Source organism: Homo sapiens, chromosome 5 (assembly GCF_000001405.40).
Source record: "Homo sapiens chromosome 5, GRCh38.p14 Primary Assembly".
NCBI classification, from domain to species: domain Eukaryota; kingdom Metazoa; phylum Chordata; class Mammalia; order Primates; family Hominidae; genus Homo; species Homo sapiens.
The window spans coordinates 84,360,582-84,388,161 of NC_000005.10; the positions used below are offsets into that span (position 1 = coordinate 84,360,582).

General features: G+C 36.5%; 1 protein-coding gene and 1 long non-coding RNA gene across 5 annotated transcripts in view; one reads left to right on the plus strand and one right to left on the minus strand.

The window, feature by feature from the left end:
* The window catches only part of EDIL3 (EGF like repeats and discoidin domains 3), a 444,327-nt gene extending 420,028 nt beyond the window's left edge, over window positions 1-24,299 (minus strand). Inside the window, exon 1 of one of the 2 annotated variants that reach the window (NM_005711.5) lies at window positions 23,727-24,299. In NM_005711.5, coding sequence (NP_005702.3) covers window positions 23,727-23,793 — 67 coding nt within the window. In that variant the 5' untranslated portion in view covers window positions 23,794-24,299. The remainder of the gene's footprint in view (window positions 1-23,726) is intronic. The other variant, NM_001278642.1, reaches the window with a different exon arrangement.
* EDIL3-DT (EDIL3 divergent transcript) overlaps window positions 21,841-27,580 on the plus strand; it is a 35,237-nt gene continuing 29,497 nt past the window's right edge. The window contains exons 1-2 of one of the 3 annotated variants that reach the window (NR_183295.1): window positions 21,841-21,957; window positions 27,241-27,355. This is a non-coding gene — a long non-coding RNA (EDIL3 divergent transcript). Of the gene's footprint in view, window positions 21,958-23,932; window positions 24,298-27,240; window positions 27,356-27,580 lie in introns of those variants that run through there. The other 2 variants (NR_183296.1, NR_183297.1) reach the window with 2 other exon arrangements.

A 27,580-nucleotide genomic window follows, 5' to 3' on the forward strand; every position in this document is an offset into this window, starting at 1 on the left:
TTGTGAAGGTTATCACCTCCAGTATGGTAATTACCAAAATGAAAACTGGAGTAAACATGGAAAGGAAAATAGACCTAGGAAAATATGAAAGTAGAACCTGGTATACATCCAAGAAATCTTATCACATATTGGCATGGCAAAAAGTGGTCCTTTAGGAAATTCTGATTTCATTTCACTCTAATCATATGTGATATATCCAAACTGAGGAGACAGTGGGTGTAAATATATTGCTAGTATTGGCATCTCAAACAGAAAGAATGCAAATATCATTTCCAATAATCCAAGCAAGTGTTTAATTATCTTACAAAATAACCAAAAAATGTTTTCAAAGAATGTCTTATAATTATATAGCAAAATTCTTCTGGGGGTATTTTTTCTTAAAATGTTCTAGACACCATATAACATATTAAATATTTTTCCATGTGCTAAAAAGATGCTAGCAATGAGTAGCTCAGAAACATATATCTTGCCTGTTCCCTAAGTCACTTATTCACCTGCCTAAGTTGATTCTGCAAGTGAGCGTTAATAAAAAAAAGACAGACAAGCGATGGTTGTGATGATGATTCTTGTTTTACCTATTTAAAAGAAAATCTCATTAGTTTGGATTTGCTTCAAGTGTGAACAAAAATGGAATCAGTCTAAACAAAAAGATTCTGATGATACCACCATTCTAGGTTAAGGTCATTACAACACACACACACACACACACACACACACACACACTTCAGATTTCTAAAGCAAGATGAATGTCTTGCTATACAATGTTTTCTTGAACTGTGAAACTGACTATTCAATAAAAATCTGGGAATAACTATAACTATCAATATTTTTATAAATAGAAGAGGCACTTATTTATGCAAAATGATTGAAGTGCAACCCTTACTTCAAAAAGAATATGATGATCATAGGTACTCTAATTTTTTTGGATTCCATTAACTATTGCCCATTCTTTAAAAGATTCTATTATTTTAGATTTAATAGGTTAGATTGCTATAAATCTGTTTATTTTTCTGGAAACCTACATATCTTACTGTACTTATTTTAGTTTGTAAATGTCATTATTTGAAATGTTGACTTTTTTTTATACTATTATCTAGTGTGTTATAAAAACATTAATAAAAGTTTTCTGGGAATTCAATTGGTCTATCAAGTATACCGTATAAACAAAGTACTTTTGTAAGCACTGTGAGGCATACCAAAGTGCTGAACAATCTATATCCTTTATAACTTACTTTGTGTTTTAAAACAAAGTAATGTATGAGTAAAGAGACAACTAATGTGATAATGCTTTATATTTTATAAAAGAACCAACCGATTATCTAAACATAATAGTCTAATAACCCAAAATGCAAGCCATAAATACTCTTTGACTACACATGAGTTTTCTGCATGTGGCTTCATAGATGCAGTCTGAGTAACAATAACAAGTTTATGCAGATACATAATAAAATGAACTTAATGTAGAATACATATAAGCCAACTTCCCAAAAGAGCAGTAATGCCAAAGAAACCCAGTTTTAATTATAAACATATATTAACAGGTTTCCTAAAGTGGTTTCCATTTTAACTTTTGGAATAGCAAATTTAAAAGATGTAACAGCATCTTTTGCTTTATTACACACCTTTGTTATTAGTGCAACAAAAGAAAGAACAGTGTGTAAATTCCTGGAGTACAACCAAATGAGTCATCTATTCAATTTGCTTTAATTTTCTTTAGTAGGAGAGTCAGGGAACTATTACACCATGTGAATAAGGCTTACATTTTTAAATTGTATCTTCCTCATTGTCAGTATCTTTCTAAGATTTTCTGAATCAAATAAAATGGCTGATTCATGCTACATTGCATGAATATGAAGTTCTCCTATTAACTAGCATGGACTGATGGTTTACATTCCTAATATGTCCAAATGACTTCAATATCATTTTTATAATGCAATTACATATTAAAATGCATATTTTCACATTGATAATGCCAACATAAACAAACCTGAGAAGTCCCTGTTAAAGTTGGTATGTTCCAATTGCCTGGGCTTATATTCAAGGCTTTGTGCATAGTAATTGACTGCACAAACAATTCATCCTGGAAGAGTTCTTCATGCCTCTTATTATCCCCAAATCAATTGACATAATTTATAACATATTCTCAATTAAAGTTAAATCAGAAACCTGAAACCTCCAACTCTAGATTGGTTTACTATGTAGCTGTTATCAGTAGCAACATTTTAAATATTTCAAAAGATACTCTTGAATTATGGGAAATACAAAACAAAATAAATAACTTGCTTAGAAATAATAATAAAAAATTAGTTTAAGATGATCTATGTCACTTCCCAAAGAACAGACAGAAATTATTTTAGCAACAATTTTATGTTTTTGTTTTTCTGTTTGTAAATTTGACTTCCAAATGCATTTATTTTTTGATAGCAATGAGTATGTAACCTATATTACTAACTGAAGAGGTAATTTAATGTATTTATTCTACTTTAAGTATATACCTTTATAATAAAGTATTAATAACTTTTGTATAAATATATATTTACAGTTCCTAGAGGGAAAATCTCAATAATGTCATTGCATTTTGGGTTGGAATCTTAGTTAATTCTTGTATTGAAAGGTATAACCAAAAAATTGCTAATTCAGGCTGAGGCAGGTCGATCAGGAGGTCAAGAGATTGAGACCATCATGGCCAACATGGTGAAACTCTGTCTCTACTAAAAATACAAAAATTAGCTGTGGTGTGTGCCTGTAGTCCCAGCTACTCGGGAGGCTGAGGCAGGAGAATCGCTTGAACTCGGGAAGTGGAGGTTGCAGTGAGCCGAGATCGCGCCACTGCACTCTAGCCTGGTGACTGAGCAAGACTCTGTCAAAAAAAAAAAAAAAAGAGCTAATTCAAAAATAAGTTATAGTCCATATATGATTTTGAAATTGAGCTTTTTAGAAACAAAGTCAAACATGTTTTTTCTAGAAACAATTCCATAATATTGGCTAAAATATTTTAAATAGTGCAACTGATACTGTATTAAAGGAAATTTAAGTTAATCTCATTTTTGTGCACAGGCATTGGAACCTGAAAAAATTGAAATTTTGGGTCACAGAAACATAGCAAGAGGTAAGATGCCTTATTCTTTTAGAGGTGACAATTTTTTCATGATGGTGAGTGACTAATTTAACTTCTTGACTGTATAAATTTGTATGGATAAAAATTAATTTTCTAAGCCAACAACTTCTAGATCTCAACTGGAGATAAAAAAAATTGGAGAAATCAGGGAAATATGGGGACATCAGATATAAATATACTCATTTTAATATATAAGCATTGTTCATATTTTGATCATCGCTTGGGTTCTCACAAATCACTGACTATATATCAGGTTTGTCATCAATTCTTAGTGTGCTTGTGTTCATTTTCAAAATAATTGTCATCAAGCGTTTTCATGACATCTTAATGGGTACAGTAAAATATACAAACACAACCAAGGGAAGATTATAGAAGAAGTGAAATTGTCACTACTTCCAATTTTGCCTGATTCTATAAAGGTATAAAAGACAAATTAAGATTTTGAAGCTACAACCAAAACAGACAATGTAAGGCAGTTTTCAGGTTCTGAAATCATTTCCTGTGTATTGCTTCATTTTTATCTTGATCATTACATATGCCAAAAAGACAAGTAGTGGAGAAGCTACGGTCTCTATTTTTGCCAAATAAGGGAATTGAGGCTTGGAATTCAGAATTTGCCCAGTCACAAGGCAAGTACTTGTTAGAGCCAGAATTGTCTTTTGATACCTAAACGAATTCATATTGCTTTGGAAATTGTTACACAGATACATGCTACAGATGCAGAGTTATACAATCCTATACCTACATGAGATTGTGTATATAAACAATTGCAGTAGGTAGCATTCCAGATCTCCATGATCTTCATCCCTTGATGTTATACCCATTAAATATGTCACATTACCTGGCAAAAGGGATTTAGCAAATACAGGTAAGACTCCTAATCAGCTAACCTTAAAATGAGAAGATAATCCTAAATCTGCACATTACAATTGTTCTTTTATGGGGCCATTTATATAGTACCCCAAATAATGTTTTAAATTATGACTTTATTTTTAAAAATTAATATATTATATATACATGATAAATCTCACACTACATAAATTTCATATGGAATCCTGCAACAGGTTAATTTTAGTTATAAATGTTGTTACTTTAGAAATAGGTACAAATTGATACAAATTAGCCTAGCAATTTTCTAACCCGAAACTTTAATACCTATTTTTTAATTCATCCAAACCACTTAATTAATCTCATATATATTTTTGGTCTGTTCTTTGGGAAACCATAGAGTGTTATACCAATCCTTAAAACATGTTTGTATATTTATGTCTTATACTTAACTTAAATATCTTCTCTAATGGAAAGTATTGGGTTTTGAGGGGTTGTTGCTGTTCGCTTGTTTTGAGAGGAGGAGGTAGCAAAAATAAATTATTTAAAATGCAAACAATTATTGTATATTAAAATCTTAAGTGCAATATGCACTTATTTTTTATTCATTTTTGAGGTATATATGATATTTAAATAAATTTGAACTGCTAAAAGATAGGAAGTAGTAAAGAGTTTTCTGAATACTAAGTACTGAACACAGAAACAACCAGCCATGAACTAGTAGATTACAAAAAACTTTCATGCTCATGGCCACCTTCATTTTAAAATCCAGTTCTGTTGCATAGAAACTTAGCTCTAAAACAAGAACATATTCCAATTGTTTTTCATTTTAACATCCTGAGTTCCACCTTTAAAAAATCTTCCTTTTATACCATATTTACAATTAAGACCTCTAAAGCAAAATGTAAAATAAAAACAACCTTAGATATTTTAGTAGTTTCTGTTATAAGTTATAAATCAAGACACAACTTATAGTCTATCTTCAGAATGGAAAGTAAGCACATCTAGGTGGAAAGAGTAAAAAGAAAGCAGAGACCACCTGATGACTTAGGAGACATTAATTAATATTCTGTTACAGTCAAGTACTCCCCAAATGCAATAATTTAAAGTCAGAAACATAATAAAAACATATATCATATCAATTCTAGGATTGCTAACCTTTGCCAATCAGTGAATTTTTCAGAACATTCCAGGTTCCTATATCTTGCCTATACCATTCTCTTTTGGATTGTGTCTCAGAATAACTTTCCCCTTTTAACAGCCAGACCACAATTAAGAAAATAATAATACCAGATGTTTATTGAGGACCTGTATTGTGCCAGCATTTGTAAGCACATTACATGGGTTATTTCTTTTAATCTCTACAACAGCTCTATTAGATTGCTATTGCTTTATCCACACTCGAGGAATGAGGAAACAGGTTATGTATATAACCTCTAAAAGGTATCAGGGCAAATAAATGTTTCATCCAGGATCCAATTCCTAGTCTATCTGATTAGAAAAATCTTTCTCTTAACCAATACAATACACCAACATGCCAGAAAGTTATAGCTCAAAGACTGAAGTCTTTTTGATAAGTATTTTGCCAAAAAGTAAAAAAATATATATAAAATAAAATAAAGAAAAACAACAGTTTATTAACCAATTATTTTTCTAAAATCAGAATGTGTACCAAGTATTGTGCTACAGCACTGGAGATACTATACTGTCGCCACCAGCACCACCACCACCGTCACCATCACCATCATCATCATGATCATCATCATATCCATCATGGGCCACAGATATGGTTCTATGCACTTAACCTCTATTAAACCCTTAAAATAACCTTACAAGTCAGGCTCTATTATTATCCCCGTTTTACACATGAGAAAACCAAAGTTAGTAATCCGTTGAAGCAGAAAATGTGACTCTTGAAACCTAGGAGCTTTACTTTGTCTAATGCTTACTTCTTTACTTCATAGTTACCATTCTCTATGTAGATTTCTGTGATCTGTTTTGTACATTTTTCTTTCACATTATTCTATAAATATGTAACTCTCTATGAACATTTTAATGGTACATATAATATGTGCTAATAAATTAGAAAATATTGTTAAACTGTTCTATTGTATCAGAAATGATAAATTATCAAAAACGGAAAGGGGATAACAAGAAAGTATTCCACTAACTACGAAAGACTCTAGAAACAGTATACACAAAAGTACCCACCAAACAGATCAGACTGCTAGTAGGTGAGTTATTTCAAAACTTAAGGAACAGAAAACTCATGCAGTATTTAAAGTGTTTCAGAGAAGAAAAGCTCCCCAAGTAATTCTATCCGTCTGGCATTTTTTCCAATACCAAGCTTAATAAAGTTAGTATAACATGTCATTTATGAAAATAGATGCAAATGTCCCAACAAAAATATTAGCAAATTACATTCAGATATATTTTAAATAATTATCCACAATGGCACAAACATATAACAAAATACAATAGTTAAAACCAAGTACTACTGACACACTAATAGAGAAGTAGCTTAATAAATAAGTCCCTGAAAAGATGCAAATTATATCATAGCATTTAGTGTATAATACATGTTTCTTTTTCTAACAGTTGTTTTAAGTCATGTGGGGAAGCACAGATAACAGTTTGGTAGGAAAAACAAATAGCATTTCTTATACTCTTAAATATAATGCCAACAGCAGAAATCATAAAGGGAAACACAAGCATATTTTATAAAATAAATCTGTTTTAAATTTAATGACTTTTTTTTTTTGAGACAGGGTCTTGCTCTGTCACCTCCCAAGCTGGAATGCAGTGGTGTGATCACAGCTCATTGCAGCCAACTTTAACAACTTTTAACAAACATAGTAAGTGCAATATAAAGGCAAATAAAATGTGAGAAAACATATTTGCAATACCTCACTTCCTTAATATTTTTGAGCAATGAGACTGAATCTCAGCACTCAATATAAAAAGGGAATCTGAGCTAGGAGCGGTGGCTCATGCCTGTAATCCCAGCACTTTGGGAGGCTGAGGCAGGAGGATCACTTATGGTCAGGAGTACAAGACTAGCCTGGCCAACATGGTGAAACCCTGTTTCTACCAAGAATACAAAAAATTAGCTGGGCATGGTGGCACATGCCTATAATCTGAGCTACTTGGGAGGCTGAGACAGGCGAATCCCTTGAATCCAGGAGGCAGACATTTCAGTGAGCCGAGATGGCTCCAGTGCACTCCAGCCGTAGATGATGGAGCGAGACTCTGTCTAAAAATTTCTACCCCATCCTTTCAACCAACTAGATAATTTGCTTGTTTATTTTCCGTTTCTCTCCATTACAATATAAGCTCTATGTGAGAAAAGATTTTCAGCTTTTTGATCACTGTAATTTTGGCACTCAAAACACTTCTTACATCTGTCTGAGTTTAATAAAATGTTGTTGAATAAGTACAACTATAAGGTGAATGGATTCCCAGAAGATTCTGAAGTAGGAAGCACCAAGAATCTGCCTCCCTACCTAGGCAAAAATTGCACTGGCAGAATTTGTCTGATGTAACTATTTTGAAACTCTGGAATCTATTGAGGGCTTGAAACTTTCAGAGGATGCTTTTTTACAAAAAAATTTTAAAGACCATCCTAAGACCATATGAAATCTTGAAAAAGAAGAACCAATCTGGAGGACTCACACTTCCTTATTTTAAAACTTACTGCAATGCTACAGTAATCAAAACAGTGTGGTCTGACACGAAGAGAGACATAGAAACAAATGGAATAGAATAGAAAGCTCAGAAATAAAGTTTCACATATATGGTGAGAGGATTTTTGACAAGCGTGCCAAAGCCATTCGATATGGATTGTCAATGGGGAAAGGACAGGTTCTTCAACAAATGTTGCTGGTAGAACTGAATATCCATATATAAAAGAATGAAGTTGAGCACTTACCTACATCGTATACAAAAATGAACTCAAAATAGATCAAATATAAATCTAAGATCTAAAACTTCAAAACTCTGAGAAGACAAAATAGGGTAAAAATTTCACAACATTAGATTTGGCAATGATTTCTTTGATATGACACGAAAGGCACAGGCAACAAAAGAAAAAATAAGCAAATTGGACTTATAAACATTAAAAAGTTTTGTATATCCAAATAAACTACCACAGAATAAAAAGGCAACCCACGGAATGAGAAAAAAAATTTGCAAAACATATCTGATAAGGAATTAATATCCAGAATATATAGAGAACTTTAAAACTCAACAACAACAAAAACAACTCGATTCAAAAATGGGCAAAGGAATTGAACAGATGTTTTCCCATAGAAGATATACAAATGGCCAATAAACACATGAAAAGATGCTCAACATCACTAATAGTTGGGAAAATGCAAGTCAAAACTAAAATGAGATACCATTTTACACTAATTAAGATGACTACTGAAAAAATAAAAACCTAAAAAGCATAAAATAAAAAGTGTTGTAGAGTATGTGCACTCTTGGTGGGGATGTAGAATGCTATAGCTGCTGTGAAAAACACTATGAAAGTTCCTCCAAAAATTAAAAATAGAATTACCATAGAATCCAGCAATTACATTTCTGGGTATATAACAAAGGAATTGAAAACAGACTCTGAAAGGGATACTTGTGAAGCCATGTTCATAGCAGCATTATTCACAATAGCAAAAACTTAGAATATATATGTATATATAATATATATAAACATACACACACATATAAATATACACACACATATAAATATACACACACAACATATGCATACATATATACATACATACCACAAGGGAATAGTATACTATTTTGCCTTAAAAAGGAACGACAACACAACATACACATACATACATATATAAACAAAGGAATTCTATTTTGCCTTAAAAGGGAAGAACATTCTAACGTATGCTACAAAACAAATGAACCTTGAAGACATTATGCTAAGTGAAATAAGCCAGTCTCACAAATAAGGTATGATTCCATTTACATGAGGTACTTAGAGACTTAGAGTAGTCAAAATCACAGAAACAGAAAGTAGGATGGTGGTTGTCAGGGGCTGGGAAGAGGGAGAAATGGGGAATTATTGTTTAATGAGTATGGATGGGGTTTCTGCATTACAATATAAAGAGAATTATGGAGATGGATGGTCATAATGATTGCACAACATTATAAATGTATTTAATATCACTAAACTGTACACCTAAAAACATGATTGACATAGTAAATTTCATGTTATGTGCATTTTACTATAATAATTAAATTGAAAATTAAACCCCCAAACGCTGTATGATATGATCCATTTTATGGTTAAACATATACTTAAAGATACTTATTTAGCTAAACAAGTCTCAAAGTACAGACGCCAATATGTCATCATTATACCTTTTCATCAATGAGTGTATACTTGCTTATGGGTTACAAAATACTTGAAATTTTAAAACAAAGACTAGAAATTAACTGCCTTTCCTCAAACCAAACAACGATAATTGCCAAAGCCTTTTTCTTAACACATAAACAGGAGCAAAGTATTAGATTTTACAGTTTTTATTTTATACACCTTTTTCCATTCTATACCTTTTTAGAAAGATATGTCTATTTTAGACTTTTAGATTTAGAAGTGGAAATCACACAATTACCAGGGTCTCAAACATGTAAATTGTTTCAGAACTATTGAGGCATTTAAGAAAGGTAGAAATACAGTTGCCTAAAGGGGAATAAATAGCAGTTTGCAGTGACATACAGATTGTCATTACACAAACAACTCTAAACAGAGCTGTTTAGAAGGTTCTCAGCTCCTCGGCAGACACAGTTCCCAGGTGTTGTCTCTTCCCCTCTGCCAAGTACTTCTGCTTTTAGCAGGTGTGACTGCATGGTGGGAGGAGGGAAAGAAGTTATGCTTGGAGGAAAGTTATTGCTGCTGGAGCTGATGGGAGTAACTGTCAGGGCACTGCGGCAATTAGTAGATCAGAGGGCTACCTGCAGCTCCTCCATATGATAATTAAAAACACCACTAAGTACTTTGTTTTTGTTGCACATACTTTTCCTGTCAAACCTGGATAATAAAATAAATAAAGTTTACTGTCTAGCTCCCATATAGTATTAAAAGTATTTTATTGTAATTTGGCAACCACAGATAAAACCTGAATCTTCCTTTTAAACTGTTTATAAATTAGACAGCTATGGAAACAGTAGGTCACTTAATCTATTCAGCTCTTAGAGTTTGCCACTACTAAAGTATTTATTGCTTTTTAATAATGTACCATTTGTACCATGATTCACAAGTCAATGCATCAGTGCATCAAGTAGATAACAATTTATTAAATAACTTAATGGGTCTATCAAAGGAACACATTTTTAACGATAAAAAGATGTATATACCAGCAGAGTTGTTCTTCATGCATGCATGCATGCATGCATAAAGTCAGAAAATAAATATTAACTGAGTGCCTACTATATGTAAGGTACCACGTTTGGAGCTGGGTATACATTAAGGAACAGAGATATTCTTCCTGCCTTCATCAAGCTTACAGTCTATTGGAAATAAGATAAAAAATAAATGAGCAAATAAATGATTATATAACTATGATTTTTGAAAAGTGTTATAATATATTTAATAATGGTACAGTGACAGAATAATAACAGGGAAATATGATGTGTATGTAAGTGTGTGTGTGAGCATGAGTTACTTGGATAAGATGACCAGAGAGAGATTCTCCCAGGCTGTGCAGTTTAAGCTGAGGGATGAGTTAGAAACAGAAAATCTGCAACATATAGCAAGAGATACATATAGATAAAAAGTATATATATATATATATATATATGTGTGTGTGTATATATATGTGTGTATATATGTATGTGTGTATATATATGTGTGTATATATATGTGTGTATATGTGTATATATATGTGTGTGTATATATATATATATATAGAGAGAGAGAGAGAGAGAGAGAGAGAAAGAGAGAGAGAGAGAGAAAATAATTTCAAGAAGATCATGAATACTTAAAGACCCCCTACCAATATGAAATAAAAAAAGCTAAGGGCAGAAATTTGTGTGTTGCATTATTATTTAGTACATATGTACATGATAAAAAATAACAATAAATAGCATAATAATATTATGTGTAAGAAATGAAGTTAGGTTACTCCATATCTGAGGGGAAAGCATATCTCATATAATAGAAGTAAGAATTATACTAAATAAAGAATGAAAAAAATAAGTAAAATTCCAGTGAAGGCAAATGCAGCATAAAATTATGAAAAATAATATATATTCTACCTACATATCATTTGAAAATGTGTGGCCTGACAGAAAAAATTAACTAGCAAAACAATAAATTAAACAATAAACCATCACTTCCTATCTTCTTATTCATTCCCTTTAGAACCCCAATTCAAACTTTCAGTCCCACCACGATCTATGGATCCCATCACTTTTTGATAGTACTCATTTTATTAGTGCCAGAGATGGGAAAAGAACTTTAGAGACTATCTTAGTTTGAGATTTAATGTTAATTTAAAGATTAAAAATTCAGAATGTAGCTTCAAAAATTAAAAAATACAGACTAACGTATGTGGCGGTATTTTAGGGAAGCACATCCTTGGAATTCTCTTGAGTTTTTGGCAAGCCTGTTGAATAAATATGTAGGCTACTTGGACGGATTCCAAATGAAACAACTAAAATGATGAAAGGAATGGCTTACAAGGACAGATTAAAGGAAAAAATATGTACGACTTCAGCATGTCAGAAACTAAAAAAGAAACATTATGGTTTACAAATATTTGAAACATGTAAACTTGAGGAAAAACAAGAACTTTGTGTACAAGGTACACAATTATGAGTATATTAAAAGGAGAGATGAAACTATTCCCCTGGTAATAATGTTAATTGTTTTACAGTGAGAACATTTGGACAAATGACCCATGGATGGGCAAGAATTAAAACCGCCAAGCAGACATATTCGACATTCCTAGTAACCTAAACTATGCAGACTTCAAAATACGTAGAGGGCCATCTGAACAAGATAAAGTAGGTCAGGGAACAACTGCAGAAATCTTCCTATCCCCCAGCTGTGTTTTAAATTTAGAAGGAATTCTTCCGTGGATTTGGGGCTTTTCTCTGTAAGTGTGCTACAGTGAAAAGATTCCTCGATTTGGATCTATAAGACCTAGTTTTGAGTGCTGATTACTTATTCTATTCTCAGTCCATGTCCTCATCTGTCAACAGGGATAATAAAAACGCCTTAGGTTGTTGTGGGTTTTAAAAGAGCTGTTTCTATGAACACATATTATATGTACTTAAAAGCATTGATCTTAATGAGATACATCAATTATTATTAAGATTGTAATGTGTCAAAAGCTGTAGGATGAAGACAGTCAAAGAGAATAATGCCTGAGACTAGGCAATTATATATCTGCATTCTGCTTAGAGTAAATCGGCTCTCCTCCAGGATACCTTGCAGCCCTCTTAACTGGATACTGTTTTTCCTCATATAACTTCTGGGTCTGAACATGTGGTACCAGTTCCTTTGCTGCTCCAGGCCATGTCCAGAACATTTTCCCTCCTCTCTCTCTAAAAACGCCCAGTTTTAATTTCATGTCATCTTTGCTCCTCTACCATTCCTTAGTATAAGTACTCCTGATCTCTGAACTACACCCCGTCATTCCTTAAAGATTTCTGTTTTTGGTTTGCTGTCATCCTCCCCAACATTTCTTGGGGCACAAGATTTTGGGATTTTAATAACCACAAAGATGATTTTTCCAACACCTGGCCATTCGGTGCCAATTTTCTTCCAATCATCATGTCTTCTACCCTCCCTGAATCATAACTTCTATAGCCATACTCTCATGTTTGTAATTACCAAAATTTTAATTACATTGGAATTATTACGATGCCTCCAAAATCTTTTTCCTCCAACCATCACTTCCTGTCTTCTTATTCATTCCCTTTAAAACCCAATTCAACCTTTCAGCCCTTCCAGGATCTATAGATGCTATCACTTTTTGATAGTACTCATTTTCTTAGTGCCAGAGATGGAAAAAAGACTTTAGAAATTATCTTAGTTCGAGATTTCATAAAGCAACAATGGTGAAATCATCCAGATAAAGCAAAAATGGGTGTAATCAACAGAGAAATTTGTAAGTGGGTAAATACTTCTGGAAATGCATAACCACAGAGACCAGGTTGGGAAAAACACATAAGAAGGATTAGAAATTAGAGTAGTGACCAAGAGTAGGGTCAGTAGGAATGAAGGGTGAGGAAAGGTAAAAGCTAGAAAATTCTGGTAAGAGACAGAAACTCTGAGAAATTTAAAATACTGGTAGCTGAGTAATTTCATGTGATGCGAAAATCTAATAAATAGCATTGCCAGTAGGTACTTAAAAACAGAGATGGGAATCATTAATGTTGGGATCTTCCAGGAAGTTTAATATCAGAATGTTAAAAGGGCTACAAGCTCATATGTGAAAGTTTTTAAGGGGACGAATGATGGAGAAGAAACAAGGTTCTGAAGCCACTGAGGAAGTAAAGCATGTTATGAAGGTTAGTAATGGGCTCCAAAGGGGAAAGAAAGTGTTATGTGCTAATGGAAAGAAAGAAAGTGTTAATGTTGAGAAGCAATTTGAAATAGTTTTTGAAAAAGCAAGCAGTATGCCAACCTCTCCTTTTTATCTCTTGAGTCCAAGAACTGGAAAAAAAAAAAAAAGCACAACTATAATTACCTCAAGTAAAGTAGTACAGAAGAAAGGAGTAAAAAATAAGTTGGAATCAGAACATATAGATTCAAATTGAAACTACTTACTCCTTGAATTCCAGGTCATACAACTTTTTTGAATCTCAAGTCCTTATCTGTTAAATTAGATTAAGAATATGTTCTCTGCTTATGTTCCCTAAAGTAGAAATGTTTCCTAAAGTGGAAAATACTTATGTTTCCTAAAGTGGAAAATGCTTACGAAATTTTAACCACTCTTTTATTATTTTGGGGGAATAAATATAATAATGCATGTGGAGGTAAATTTCAACAGTTAAACAATTTACAGCTATACCAAGGAAGAAAATGACGAGGATGAGCTCATGTTAGATGGCATATGATATGGTTTGGCTCTGGGTCCCCACCCAAATATTATCCCAAATTGCAATCCCCATGTGTTGAGGGAGGGACCTGTAATCCCCAAGTGTCCAAGGAGGGAGGTGACTGAATCATGGAGGTGGTTTCCCCTGTGTTGTTCTTGAATAGTGAGTAAGTTCTCAGGAGATTAGATGGTTTTATAAGTGTTTGGAAGTTCCTCCTTCCCTATTCCCTCTCTTGCTGCCACGTGAAGAAGGTCCTTGCTTCCCCTTCGGCTTCCACCATGATTGTAAATTCCTGAGGCCTCTCCAGCCATGTGGAACTGTGAGTCAATTAAATTAAACCTCCTTCCTTTATAAATTACCCAGTCTCGGGTATTTCTTTTTTTTTTTTTTCTTTTTTTCAGACGGAGTCTCTCTCTGTCACCAAGCTGAAGTGCAATGGCATGATCTCGGCTCACTGCAACTTCTGCCTCCCAGGTTCAAGCAATTCTGCTGCCTCAGCCTCCTGAGTAGCTGGGACTACAGGCACACACCACCACGCCCAGCTATTTTTTGTATTTTTAGTAGAGAAAGGGTTTCATCATGTTGGCCAGGATGGTCTCGATCTCTTGACCTCGTGACCCGCCCACTTCAGTCTCCCAAAGTGCTGGGATTACAGGCATGTGCCACTGCGCCCAGCCTTCGAGTATTTCTTTATAGCAGTGTGAAAATGGAATAATACAGCATAATTCTCATTGTTTTGTAAAATACTTAAAATGATTGCAGTTTGAAGTTTTTTTAAAAAAATAAACCATATTTTGGTTGAATAATTCTTCACATAAACCAGAAAAAAAAATATTCTAATTGATGTGGTTTGAGATTATTTGGTGCTTTTGTTTGGCTAAAACTTCTTAATGGGGTTATGTGGAAATAAAATTAAATGAGGATGAGATGTAAGGCAAATTAAATATCTTCATTACACTAGGAGAAATAAAAACCTTGTTAACCTCTAAAGTCACTTTGTACTACCTGATGTATCTGAAAATTACAGAGAAAGCATGCTTCTACACATCACATTGAATAGCAATGAAACAATGTAGAGGAGCAATGAAATCCTAGAAAATTAAAATAAATCAAAAAATTGTGCTGAAATCAAACTAAATGGCAAGATTTAAAGAAAATGTATTTCAAACCACTTCCCAAGTGCTCATCTTCTTACCAGTGATGCATTCTAACACATTAACACTTTCTGACCAAATGAATGAGCATACTCTTTTATTTCTGAATGTGAAAAAAGAACTTTACACTTTACCAACCTAAATTTGAAATTTTTAAATTATTGTCCCAAGAGAATAAGTATAATTTAATCCTTCTAAAATAATTACTAGTGAAATAATGGTTAGACATAATGTGTGTTTTACAAATAATAAAATCATTTAACAAAATATCTCCATGATATACAAGATGTGTCACTCACTGAGACAGAGCATCGCCTAATAGTTAAGAGGACAAGCTCTAGATCCTAATTTTAACATGCTACTTAGTAGCTCTATGATCTCTATATCTCCATTTTCTCATTTATATTTCAATAATAATAGCACCTGCCTCAATAGTTTTGAGAATTAAAGATGATAATTAGAACAGTGGAACACATAGTATGCAGTCAATACATGTTAGACTTGAAAGATATTAGAAAGAATGTACCTTGTTAACTTATCTAAGACTCTTAATGCTGACATGATGGTGGTCCCTAAGTAATGAAAAGAAAGCAAAAAAAATAAAAACACAAAATGATGCCTGAAAAATTACTGTTTCTAGGCCAAAATCAAATTTAGTCAGAAATGTCAGAACCTTGCACCTAAAAAAGGGAAAAATCACTTAGAAGCAGCTTTTCTTTTAATTGAAGGTTCATAACAAACACAGTTAAGTACTTTATATCCTGCCTGCACTTGAATATTATATTATCAACAGTGCTCTTGCAGGAGTGTTGAGAAATATTTTCAAAGTAGGCTCATTCTACAACACACATTATAAGGAATAGTTATGTAAGAAAGTGAAAAACACAGCTTTTAAAGTTCCTGAAACTACTTTGACCTATTTTTATATATAAGAGACACACTGCTGTTTAAAATGTGCAAGTACGTTTACAGGCAAACTGATGGGGGTGGGTAGCTACATTCAATTCAGTATATATTAAGTGTCTGTTTGGGTCTTCTTGTTTGTTTTGCCTGGTACTATTCTAAGCCCTAGCTCAGTAGAAAGCACAAAACATGAAACAAGAACTTGGTATATAAACATTAAAGCACTGCGAATGGTAATTTGGTTTTTGTTTGTCTGTAAACAACATTCCAGAAAAGTTAGCGTTTATAATACAGAAGTTAAACTATAGAAAGATAAATAAACAGAAAAAATAGCATAGTTAAAATTAAAGTTCATATAGTATTTGGAAAGAAAATGTGATAAAGAGTGCAGCAGAGGCCGGGCGCGGTGGCTCACGCCTGTAATCCCAGCACTTTGGGAGGCCAAGGCGGGTGGATCACGAGGTCAGGAGATTGAGACCACCCTGGCTAACACGGTGAAACCCCGTCTCTACTAAAAATACAGAAAAATTAGCCGAGCCTGTAGTCCCAGCTATTCAGGAGGCTGAGGCAGGAGAATGGTGTGAACCCGGGAGGCGGAGCTTGCAGTGAGTTGAGATCGCGCCACTGCACTGCAGCCTGGGTAGCGAGACTCCGTCTCAAAAAAAAAAAAAAAAAAAGAGTGAAGCAGAGATGTGAGCACAGACCTAAGGCTCAGGCCTGTAGGTGGGAGACTGCTCTACATTACAGAGAGGGATCTGTCCATTTATTTCAAATAAAAAATATTCTCCAATGTTTCCACTCAATTGTTTTGGACTTTCCTGATTGTGTCATGAGCCCATTTCATCCTGGCTGACCTCAAATAATCCCCAGAATCAGTAAAATCTAAATGGTTCCCCTGACCTAAAATACAAGAGGGGATTTAAAGGATTATTTTGCATTCCCAAAATATACCACTTTGTTAAATACCAAGCACAAACCTTAAGGAATGCATGGTGGCCTAACCCCATTTAGAGATTATCATCTTCAAATCAAGCATATATCATCTAACAAGAGATTAAAACCTTGGTCTTCCCATTTATGAAATATTATATCATATTAAATTATTTTAAGAGATCAATCATTTTGATACAAACCTGTTTTGGAAAAGATAAAAGGCAAAGCTAAGTCAATCTTCTTTCTCCATAGTAACAACCACATTCAAAAGTGCTTTAGTGCTTAAAAAGCCGTCACCTAAATTCTTGTACTTAAATCCTCCATTCTAAGTCACACACTATAAATCTGAACAATTCCTACACAGTTACTATCACTATAATAATGCATATTTTAAAACAAAATAGCAGCACATTTTCTAAAATATAACCAAATAATTGCAGGACATTTTATCTACATTGTAAGGTCTACTTCTTTTTTACAAAATTCAGTTTTGTGTCTTCTAAAACTTTATTACCTTAGAAGAAAAATAATTTTAAAATACCAACATTTTATTTGACACAACGGGAAAAGTCTTAAATAAGTACATTGTTCAGATATCTAGCTATTTCACCATTAAGCAGGTTTTCAAGCTTAAACATTTTTGACCAAGTCTTTTTTTAAATAATGTATACATTTCACTGCATTTGCACCCAAAAAATGTTGAACATCTTGCAGTGAGGCTTTCTCTAGGTCGCAAAACCAGCATTATCACCAGTTATTGCATTCTCTTATATGGTGATACACTTACCACTCCCCACCCCAAACCCTCCCAACTGCATGTACCCAGTTTTTTGTACTGCAAAGTATCACTGCTTTTACATATACTATTCGAGTCTCCTCTTTGTCTAAAAGTTGGCATGTTTTACTGCTCTGATTAAGCCTGACCTATTACTTCATATGCTTTTCACTTTCTGGATTCAGTTTATAGAGGACCCAGAAACTTGAAAGCCAAGAGAAATAAGCTTTTCTATGATACATGATCTAAGACCTAACTATGACATCTATTTTTGTGGTCAGAAGTTTCTGATTCTTTATCCTAGGTTCTCAGCTATGTGGTATGTGGATGAAGCTTCAAGGCAAGTGGCTTCTCCACAAGTGAAGTGGATATAAATTACTGTATACTTGATAGCTTTAGGCAGGACAGTGTGATCAAATCAAGGTGTAAAATCCTGAGTTGCTCCATGATTTAGATCCCAATTTATTTCCACTTATGTTTTAAACTTCAGGTTTGGTAGGCAGAGGTTTGACATTATCATCTTCCTTTTCTTTCCTCACAAAAAGATAAGTTACAAGTTTCACAACGTTTCAAAGGTTTGCAATCTTTTAATAATGATGACAAAATATCACTATCAATTTTACAGTAGATGTTGTGTCCTATTTGCCATATAACAAGGAAATGAGGGAGGAGGGGAGAGGAGGAGAAAGAGACGGAATGAAGGAGAGAGAAATTTTTATCCTAGGAGAACTCTGACACAGAAAGAATGCCACTGGAAACCGACTATTTGGCACAATGTCAGTGACTGTATAAAAAAGCTCCTTAAAAGGGTATAATGGTGAATCTGTAACATAGTTTTGAGGGCTACATCAGCAGATGCTGGAACTACAAGTTATCAGTTAAAGGTCAATTGCAATCAAAATAAATTAGTTCAAGTCCCTGACATCAATTGATGCAGAGGAGTCACATATATAGAAATTAATAACTGGCTTAAATGGGATATAACAAAGCTTTATTTATCATGACATTTGTCTCTTTTGGCCACATGACTTGTTTTATGTAGAATCTTGCAAGATCTAAAAAACATACACTTTACCATAATGACAAAAAGAGTAAATAAAAGCATTCATCTCTTTCCAGTGCAGTAGATGCATAGGAATAGTTGAGTGTGTATGTCTGTGTAAATCAATATAACAGAACTGCTATTTATGAAACTTATAGTTCATATGAAGAATAAGCTTAGAAATCGTGGTATAAATTTCATTAATAATTGTTTTACTACAAACACCTCATAGCTCTCTGTGTTTTTCCTTGGAAGGTACTTAGAAGACTCCCTCTAAAGTAATAGTTCAACCTAAGTGTGCACTTGAATGTCTGTGTTTCCAAGTTAAAATCCTATGGTAGAAGGATTCTACCTTACAATGCCCTCTTTTTTTCTTCCTCAGGGAAGCAATGAAAACTAACTAATAACATTAGTTTCGTAAAGAGTAGAAAGTTACTTTATGTGGATCTGCAGATTCACATTTATGACTTGACTTCTTTTATTTTTCCTTTTATTTTATTTTTTCCTTTAAAAGATCTTCGTTGATTATCCTGACATCTGCTGGTGAGGGCACAGTTGATTCTAGTCTACTTTTCCCTTCAACAACTTGCTCAAATCAAAGATTTTTAGGGGTATTTTCAGTGACAAGTGGTAATACATTCAGTTTAAGTATTTATAGTACTTAAATTCTTGCTGTATCACATAGGAAACCATGAGAAATATTTTAATAATTACTTCACATTGGCAGTCATTTGACTCTGTCTATAAATACATGTTTGCTTTGATTAAGCAAACAACATTATAATCATTACATGGACTATGATAAAAATAAAAAAATCATTTTAGAAGAATATTTATATAGTCTATAACTATAGAACATCTAAGGAAGATGCTAAGCGTCTTCCTTAAAACACAGAGAAGAACTGAATAATAGGAATGGCTTAGCTTTGGTTTTCTGCTTTTTAAAATAATAATGTTAATTTTCAACCTACTTAGCAAATAAAAAGTAAATGATTAACTATGACAGAAGCCATTAACACTCAACACATATTTGCAAAATTTGCTATTTTTTACTCAGTATCCAAATGTTATGATTTACTTCTGACTTGAACTGAGTTCTGAAGCCTGCACTGTTTCTTTGGAAGAGATACAATGAACCTATTACATCCTAATCTTACTCAAAGCTATTGCACCTGCAAGTGTGTGCAGTAAACAACAAATATCAGAATTACTTTTTTAGGCTTCAAGAAACTCTCAAAGGAGGCAACTTTTAAAAAATTATACACTAAATGATAATATATACAGTTCATCCCATTATGCAAAATCCTTCAAAAATGAAAAGTTTTAGCTAATTAAAACTTTATCTTGAAATTAATAAAATTAACAGCTGGTACTACTAATTTAACTCTAAAAACTGTCAAGCTTTTACTTTTAATGGTATCGAGTGACCATGCTACTTTATTTTAGTCATGTATATCTTATTCCTTCCCTTTACATTGCTATAATTTTATTAGAAGAAAAAAATCACATGTATCTAGAGAGAAAAGCAAACTTTATTAAATATTTATTTAAAATACCCTAGATTTTGAATACATGATTTATATGAACATTGATGTCAATATATTTGAGAAAATTATGACATAGTTTTAATTTAGAAAAGTATTCAGAAATACATTTGCCTACTTTTGAAGATTTTTGCAACTTCAAGATCAAAGAAGGAAAAATAGACCATCTCAATTTTTTCCTGATTTTTAAAAATTATTTTAAGTCTTTTCCCAAAACCATATACATTTAAAACAAATACATTTTAATTCTAAGGAAACATTTCAGGAAAAATCAGAAAAACATTTTCAGAACCAGAGGAAAAAATTGTGTGTTGTATCACCACAGTGGCCAAAATATTGCAATACTGTCAAACTTTCACATGAGAATACTTCATTTTCACTTAATTCTTATTTTAATTTGATATTTCAGAATTATTTTTGTATGTTTTACCTTGACTCTGAAGTTAGCATTTATTTTTAAGGTATAAAATTTAATGGTCAGGTAAATTAGGCAACGAAGACATCAATGTGTAATAATAATATAATAAGATAAAAGAAACTCCTTATTTCTGTATAAATGTAACTATACTAATCATAAAAGGTTAGTGTTGTTATCTGGAGTGAGACTGTTCAGGTATTAATTTATTCTCATGTAAAATTAACTAAAAATCGCCATTGATTAAAAAAAGAAAATGCAAATGCCAATGATTCATAGTATTTAGGACATGTCTAGACATTTTTAGACAGTGCCATTTGCTTAAAGACTTCAGGCACAAACTGCAGGCACAGGGACAGATTGCATAAGATGTCACGTGCTTGCTGCAACTGTATGCATGTTATTGAATTTTTTAGAGCAACCCATACCGTGAATAATTTAATAGTTAATAAAATATTCAATCTGACTGATCCATTGGTTTAATTTTAAAATAAAGACGACTAATAAAAGGAGTTACATATCCTTATCAAATCCCAGGCATTAATGCAAGTAAATTGCAACCCATACGTAGGGAAAACACCAATTTCTAAGAGACATGAGATTAATGATTGGGGGCGGGAAGGAGTGCAAGGAAAATTCTGTGTTAGCACTGGCTTCAATAAGTTTGCCGGAAGTTTAATTGTTTGGAGCTGTCACGGAAGCTGTACTCTGCCTTCTGCAGAGGTGAGGGAGAAAAAATTAGAGAGGTGCAAGTTTTAACAGAAAGGGCTAATGCAAAATGGTCTATTTATTTTTCCTCAAGCCTTTCCCCTGTCCTCACAAGCTAGCTGGGGGAAAAAGGGAGAAATCTCCTGAAGAATATGGAGCATCCAGCTTCCCGAGCATTGTCTAAGAGAACCAGGATGGAGAGTCCAGGCAACATCTCCATGGTTGGCTTGTCTGGCGGAGTAAGCTGTGCCCTCGGCGCGGGTATCTTCAGGAGACAGAGCTCCTGGCTGCAGCGAGCCGGGACTTGCCGCGCCCCGGGGCTCCCTCAATCAGACCCAGCCAGGCAAGCGCGGCCACATAGGCAAGCGCGGCCACATAGGCTAGACGCACTATCTTCTCCTCTACCCCGCGCCGCCCTCCACCTCGGAGCGGGGACGTACGGTGGTGGCGGTGACACAATGCGAGTGAGTGGGTGAGTGTGTTTTCGTGTTTGGGGTGGAAACGTAGGCGGGGAAGAGAAGGAGGAGAGGGGAGTGCCTGCAGTCCTTCCCCCTTCCCTTCCTGCTAAGAGATCAAAGTGCAGAGGAAATCCAGACGGGAAATGAGAGAAAGGAAAAACAGCAGCCGTGGAAGCACTCTCTTTTTTATATCGCTGGAGACTCGGCCGAGCAACTACTGGAACCATTACCATTTCTTAACCTTTAGTGGAGTGGCTGCCTTTGCCTATTAACTGGAAGGGCACTTTGTAAACGCAGGCGAGGCACACACCTACACACACGCCTACACGCTGGGGGAAAATAACCACATTCTGGGGGACGGAGGGAGGCCCAGGCAAGGCGCGGCCATGGATCTCTACTGCCAGAGCTGCGAGGGCATCTGGCCAGCAACACCCGGCTTCTTGGGCGAACAGTCGCCCAAGAGTCCACAATTTTCTTGTGACTCAAATAGATGGATAGGTGCATGGATGGATGGTGCAGAATATTCATACTCTGTCTAATCTCAAGTGGACTGGAGTCAACGCATTTTTAAATCCATCTACCTTTTTTAGAGGCACAGCATTTAAAACCCTGTAGTTCACTCAGCTTTCCACTTGAAGCTGCCTGCAGAGGATTCTATTACCCGCGGATCCCTCACAAGGGGCCGCCCGCATCTGTGAGCGCAGGAGTGGCACAGCTCCCCCAGGCACAGCTCCCACTCGCCTCCCCACACACCCTGCTGCCCCCGCTGCCCTTTTCCGGCGACTACTTCAGCCCCGGCCAGCGGTGAGACCCAGGTCAGCACAAGGGTTTGTATGGACAAGCTGCACCTCGCAGGGGACCTGGAAGTCGCCTAAACTACTCCAGCAGGACACTCGTCGAAGTCCTGCGTTTTCTTTTAAATGCTTTTTTCTTTTTAATTTAATTTGATTTTTATTTTTCTGTTTTTATTTTTTCGTGCAATTCACAGAAGGCATCACCCTACAAGCTCTCACAACTTTTCCGCTCCTGTGCGGGGACGCGAGGGGTGGCTTGCCCCGCACTATTCCCCATTACCAAGAGTTAACACTGGTACTCGGAGGGGGTGCGCAGCTAAGCTCCAGGCCCCTGGGGTCAGACTAGGAGAGGCGGGTTCCTGGGGTTTGCTGTAATCGATGCTGCTCCTCTGGGATGGGGAGGCAGGAGAAAGCTGAAGTGACCTGTGAGACTCCTCTCCACCTCACCCGCGGCCAAAACGCCCAGCGCCGGGTCTGGGTTTGCGAACGGCTCAGCCCAGGCCCTGCGCCAGAGCACCGCACCCGGGGGCGGACGGCCCTGCAGCTCCCCAGCCTCTTCCCGCATCAACTAGCTGACGCCCGGGCGCACTGGCTTCCCCCGCTCCCGCCCGCACGAAAGCCCTGCCCGACGTCTGCAGTCAGCATCGCCCGCACTGCCTAGGGAGGGTTTGCGCCGAGACCCAGTGGCCGAGTGAGCCACAGAGTCGCTGGTCCTGGGGACGCTGTCTTCTACCGCTCCCCACCGTCCTCCTCTTTCCTGTATCTCACCCCGGTACCCCGCACCCTTCTCCCCGCTCGGCCCCGCGCACTCTGCTCAGACTTTACAAGCACTTTCTCGGGGCACCCAGGACTCGACGCCTCCTCCGCGCCGCCAGCGGCGCTCGCCACCCTTGGCACGCCGGAGGGACCGCCTCCGGCCCCCTGCGCGGCGTTTCTCAGGGGACTCCCAGCCCATCCCTCACCCAGCTGTCCGGGTCCCGACGCCTTACCTTTGCCGAACTGGGGGACACCGAGGCTGAGCCCGACCAAGAGCCAGACGGCTACCGAGCGCTTCATGATCCCGTCTCCCGGACGTGACCCCGGCTGGTCAGGGGTCGTCGCGGAGGGCAGTGTAGCCGAGGTGGCAGCGCAGGGCAGCAGCAGACTCCGCCCCTACTAAAGAATTCAAGAAGACGTTCTCTTTCCTCAGCGCTTTGTTAAACAAATTCTTGGAGAGGGCGAGAGTGGTGACTAAAGAGAGGAGCCTTTCCTCCCCTTTTGCCTGCGCTCCGGCGCGCGGAGGTGGGTGAGCTCCGGGGAGCCGCCGGCGGGCTCAGCCCTCCGCTGCGGGTGGGTCCCGGCAGAGGCGCGGCGGGCGGGGCGCGGGCTCCCGCGGCCGCCCCGGGTCTGCTGCGCGGGCAGGCAGACCCACCGGCAGACAGGCGGACCGGGCGCTCGGCTGTCGCTGTTCTCCGCGCGGCGGCTGCGGGGCTTCTGACTTGGAGAACAATGAAGCGTGAGCTGGAGGGGAGCGAGCGGGCCGCCGGGAGCGCACTGTGTACAAACAGAGGCGGCGTGCGTGTGAGTCTGAGCCTGGCAGGCGCGCTCCCCACTCCCCCGGCGCCCGCCCGCCCTCCGCCCGCCCTGTTATTCACTCCCCGGGTCTCCCCCTCCTCTCTCTCTCTTTTGCTCTCTCTCTCTGTCTCTCTTTTGCTCTCTCTCTCCTTCCTCCCTCCTCCCCTCCTCTTTCAGCTCCTTCTGCTATAAGAGAAAAGGGAGACAACTGCAGCCACACCCTAGCACCTAGCACCTGCCACCACCTCTGAAGTTCCTGCATTGCCTGTACCTTCTCCGCACATGCTGGAGACTGTGGGGTTAAGAGCTGCACCCTTGCTGCCTGAGAGTCCCTTGGATTCCAGCACTGACTTTATAATTAACCACGTTAAGGATTCCCCTGAACTTCCTTTCTCAGTATAACCAGGAACAGAAGTTAAGAGATTTTGAAAAGTGACTCTTGGGGCACAAAACTGCATGAGAGACAGAACCCTGCAAAGTGAATTGCCCCGTATTTCTCAGGAACTGCAACGTAGTCAGCAACCAGACCCTAATCAGCTAAGACAGGGCTGCTCTGCTGCTCTGTCTACAATTTAGTTAGCTCCAGGGCTGGGGAGAGAGGGTTGTGGGCTCATCTGTTCACGGGGGCAAAAGGGTGGAAGTGAGTAGGAGACATGCATCTCGTTAAGCAGGACATCTGTTTCAGAGAAGAAGTGGGGCAAGTTTGGGAACTGTGCAAGAACATAAAGGCAAAGACAGACCCTTGAAGCATCACTAAGGTGGATCAAATTTTCTTTCTATCCGCCAAAATAAATGGACTGGTTTTTGCAGTGGAAGTGATTGAACCAAAAATACAGCTCATGGCTTACAATTGTGCTTTCTTCTCTGTTTTTCGGTTAGAATGATTGCTTATTGTACATGGATCCAATTCCAGCAGTTACAGGTACCAAAATGAAACAGGGCTTCTTTTTTCTTTTTTTTCTTTTTTTTTTCTTTTCCTTTTTTCTTTTCTTTTTTTTTTTTTTTTGTCTTCTAGAGAGGGAGGTAGGGAGAGAGACAAACACAGAGCTAGAGAAATTGAAAGAGAAACATTCTCGAAGGCAAAGAGTTGAAAGGTGAATCTACTAAGAAAAGAATAACAGAGTGCAATTAGCCATGGAACTACATCTCCATCTGCCTCCTTTAAAGGATGAGTCCTTTAAAGGTGAGATGAGTCCTTTAAACTTAAATTTCTACCTTCCTTTTCAAATTTTAAGTGAAATGAAGAATGCGAGGTGAATGGAACCGTAATGCTGAATACTGCTAGGGAGGGTTTAAGGTATTGTATAACTGACAAGCAAACAACGGAAAAAAGAAAGAAAGAAAGAAAAAAAAGAACACCTTTCAGAAAGGGTTTGTTCATATCTCACGATTGGTGGGAGGGTTAAAACACATTTTTTAAAAAATCACCTTGCTAAGAGAATGAGAGAGATTCATTTATTTACTGTCTATTTATATGCCTAAAGTCACAGATGTTAGAATAAGACAGTATTGTCCAGAGTTGTAGCAAAGATGTTTCAAGCAATCAAATTCTAATTTTCTGGTGCATCATCATTACTTCCTTGTGAAACTATGTTTTCAGTCACCCTGTGGCATGTTCATCCTAAAATACACTTTAACTTTTGAAATGAGATGTCTAATATTAGTTTTAGGTTTTATTTCTAAAGGATAGTACTAAATCCTAAAAATGTAAAGTTGGAAACCAGTCTCTCTGGGATGTGATATTTAAGGGAAAAAAAAGAGTGGGTTAAGAATTTTGTGTAGTTTTGTATGTTATTCCCTGTTTATTTCCACTTTTTTGATAGTATTTGACCTTAATGAGCATATTAAGAAGTTAAATTATTTTTGCCAACAGTGTGTGTTTCTAAACATGTATCTTTCTTTTAATTTAAAGAAGGGTTTTTAAAAACTAGTGGGCATAAAAGTACATTACAATGCACATTCTATGCCCAAATACTTGGTGCGGAGACAGTAAATGACATTCTGTATTACCTGATAGACAACTTATGAAAGATGTTGCCAGTTTAATATCTCTACTTTCTCGTCTCATTTCCAATAAAAAATTGATAGTCTTAAATCCACAGCTCCATATTCATAATCATCCCCTCTTTTTGAACCACTAATTGATAATGATCATCTACCAATAAGCCTTTCATTTTGAAGATTCTAGGCACTTTACCTAATTTACCTTGATAGGACTCATTTCACTGTTACTGCACTCACACATAGCCTCTTCAGAAGTGGAATATAAGATATGTTAGAAGACTGCAGAAATTGAATTATTTAAAATAAAATAAAATTTAAAAAGTAAAAGGATGAAACTCTATTGTGAAGCTTGTACTTCACACAAAGTGCTAAGGGACCTTTACTAATCACTGTGATCCAGCCTACAGTTTTATAGCTTCTCTTAATAGGAGCCTACAGTGCCAAAAATGAATCTGTACATCACTCAAAGACAGTGCTTTTCAAGTTATTTTCTGCAGGCCTCCTTTTCCCCAAGATGTTAATAGGTTTCTGGGAGGAAAAAATCCATGGTAAAATAATTTGGGGAGACATTGCATATCAAAGCAGCCTCTTAGAGATTCATGGTGAATGTTAGTATATTAAATACTTTGAAAGGTCCTGTGGTTAAGAATTTTTTTCAAAAATATTTAATTCAGCATTTTGCAGACTTTCTTTTTTGTACTATGACAAACTTTTTCTTAGAACACCTGTTAGTATACTAAATACTTAGTGCTGCAAAGGAAATAACTTGAAAATGATGCTTTGAAACAAAGCAGAATAAAGTAGCAGCAAAACAAAACAAAAAAAAGACTGTAAAAAGTTCACTGGGTTTTGCTATGGGCTGAATGTTTCTGCACAACCCCCCTCCCCTGCGCCCAAATTTATTTGTTGAGGCCTAAGAACCTACTGTGATATGTTTTGATGTAGAGCCTTTGGAAGGAATTGGGCCATGAGAAGAGCCCTCATGAATGGGATTAGTTCCCTTATAAGAAGAGACACCAAGGAAGTGATCTTTCTCTGCCCTCTGCTATGTGAAGACAAGGTAAGAAGACAGCTATGAACCAAGAAGCAGGCCCTTACCAGACACCAAATCTGCTGGTGCATTGATCTTGGACTTCTCAGCCTCCAGGACTGTGAGAAATAAATGTTTATTGTTGAAGCCACCCAGTCTACAGTAATTTGTTATAGCAGCTGAAATTGACTAAGACAATTTAAAAAAATTAATCTCATTGACTATCAATTTGGATTCTGGAGCATACCTGGATTC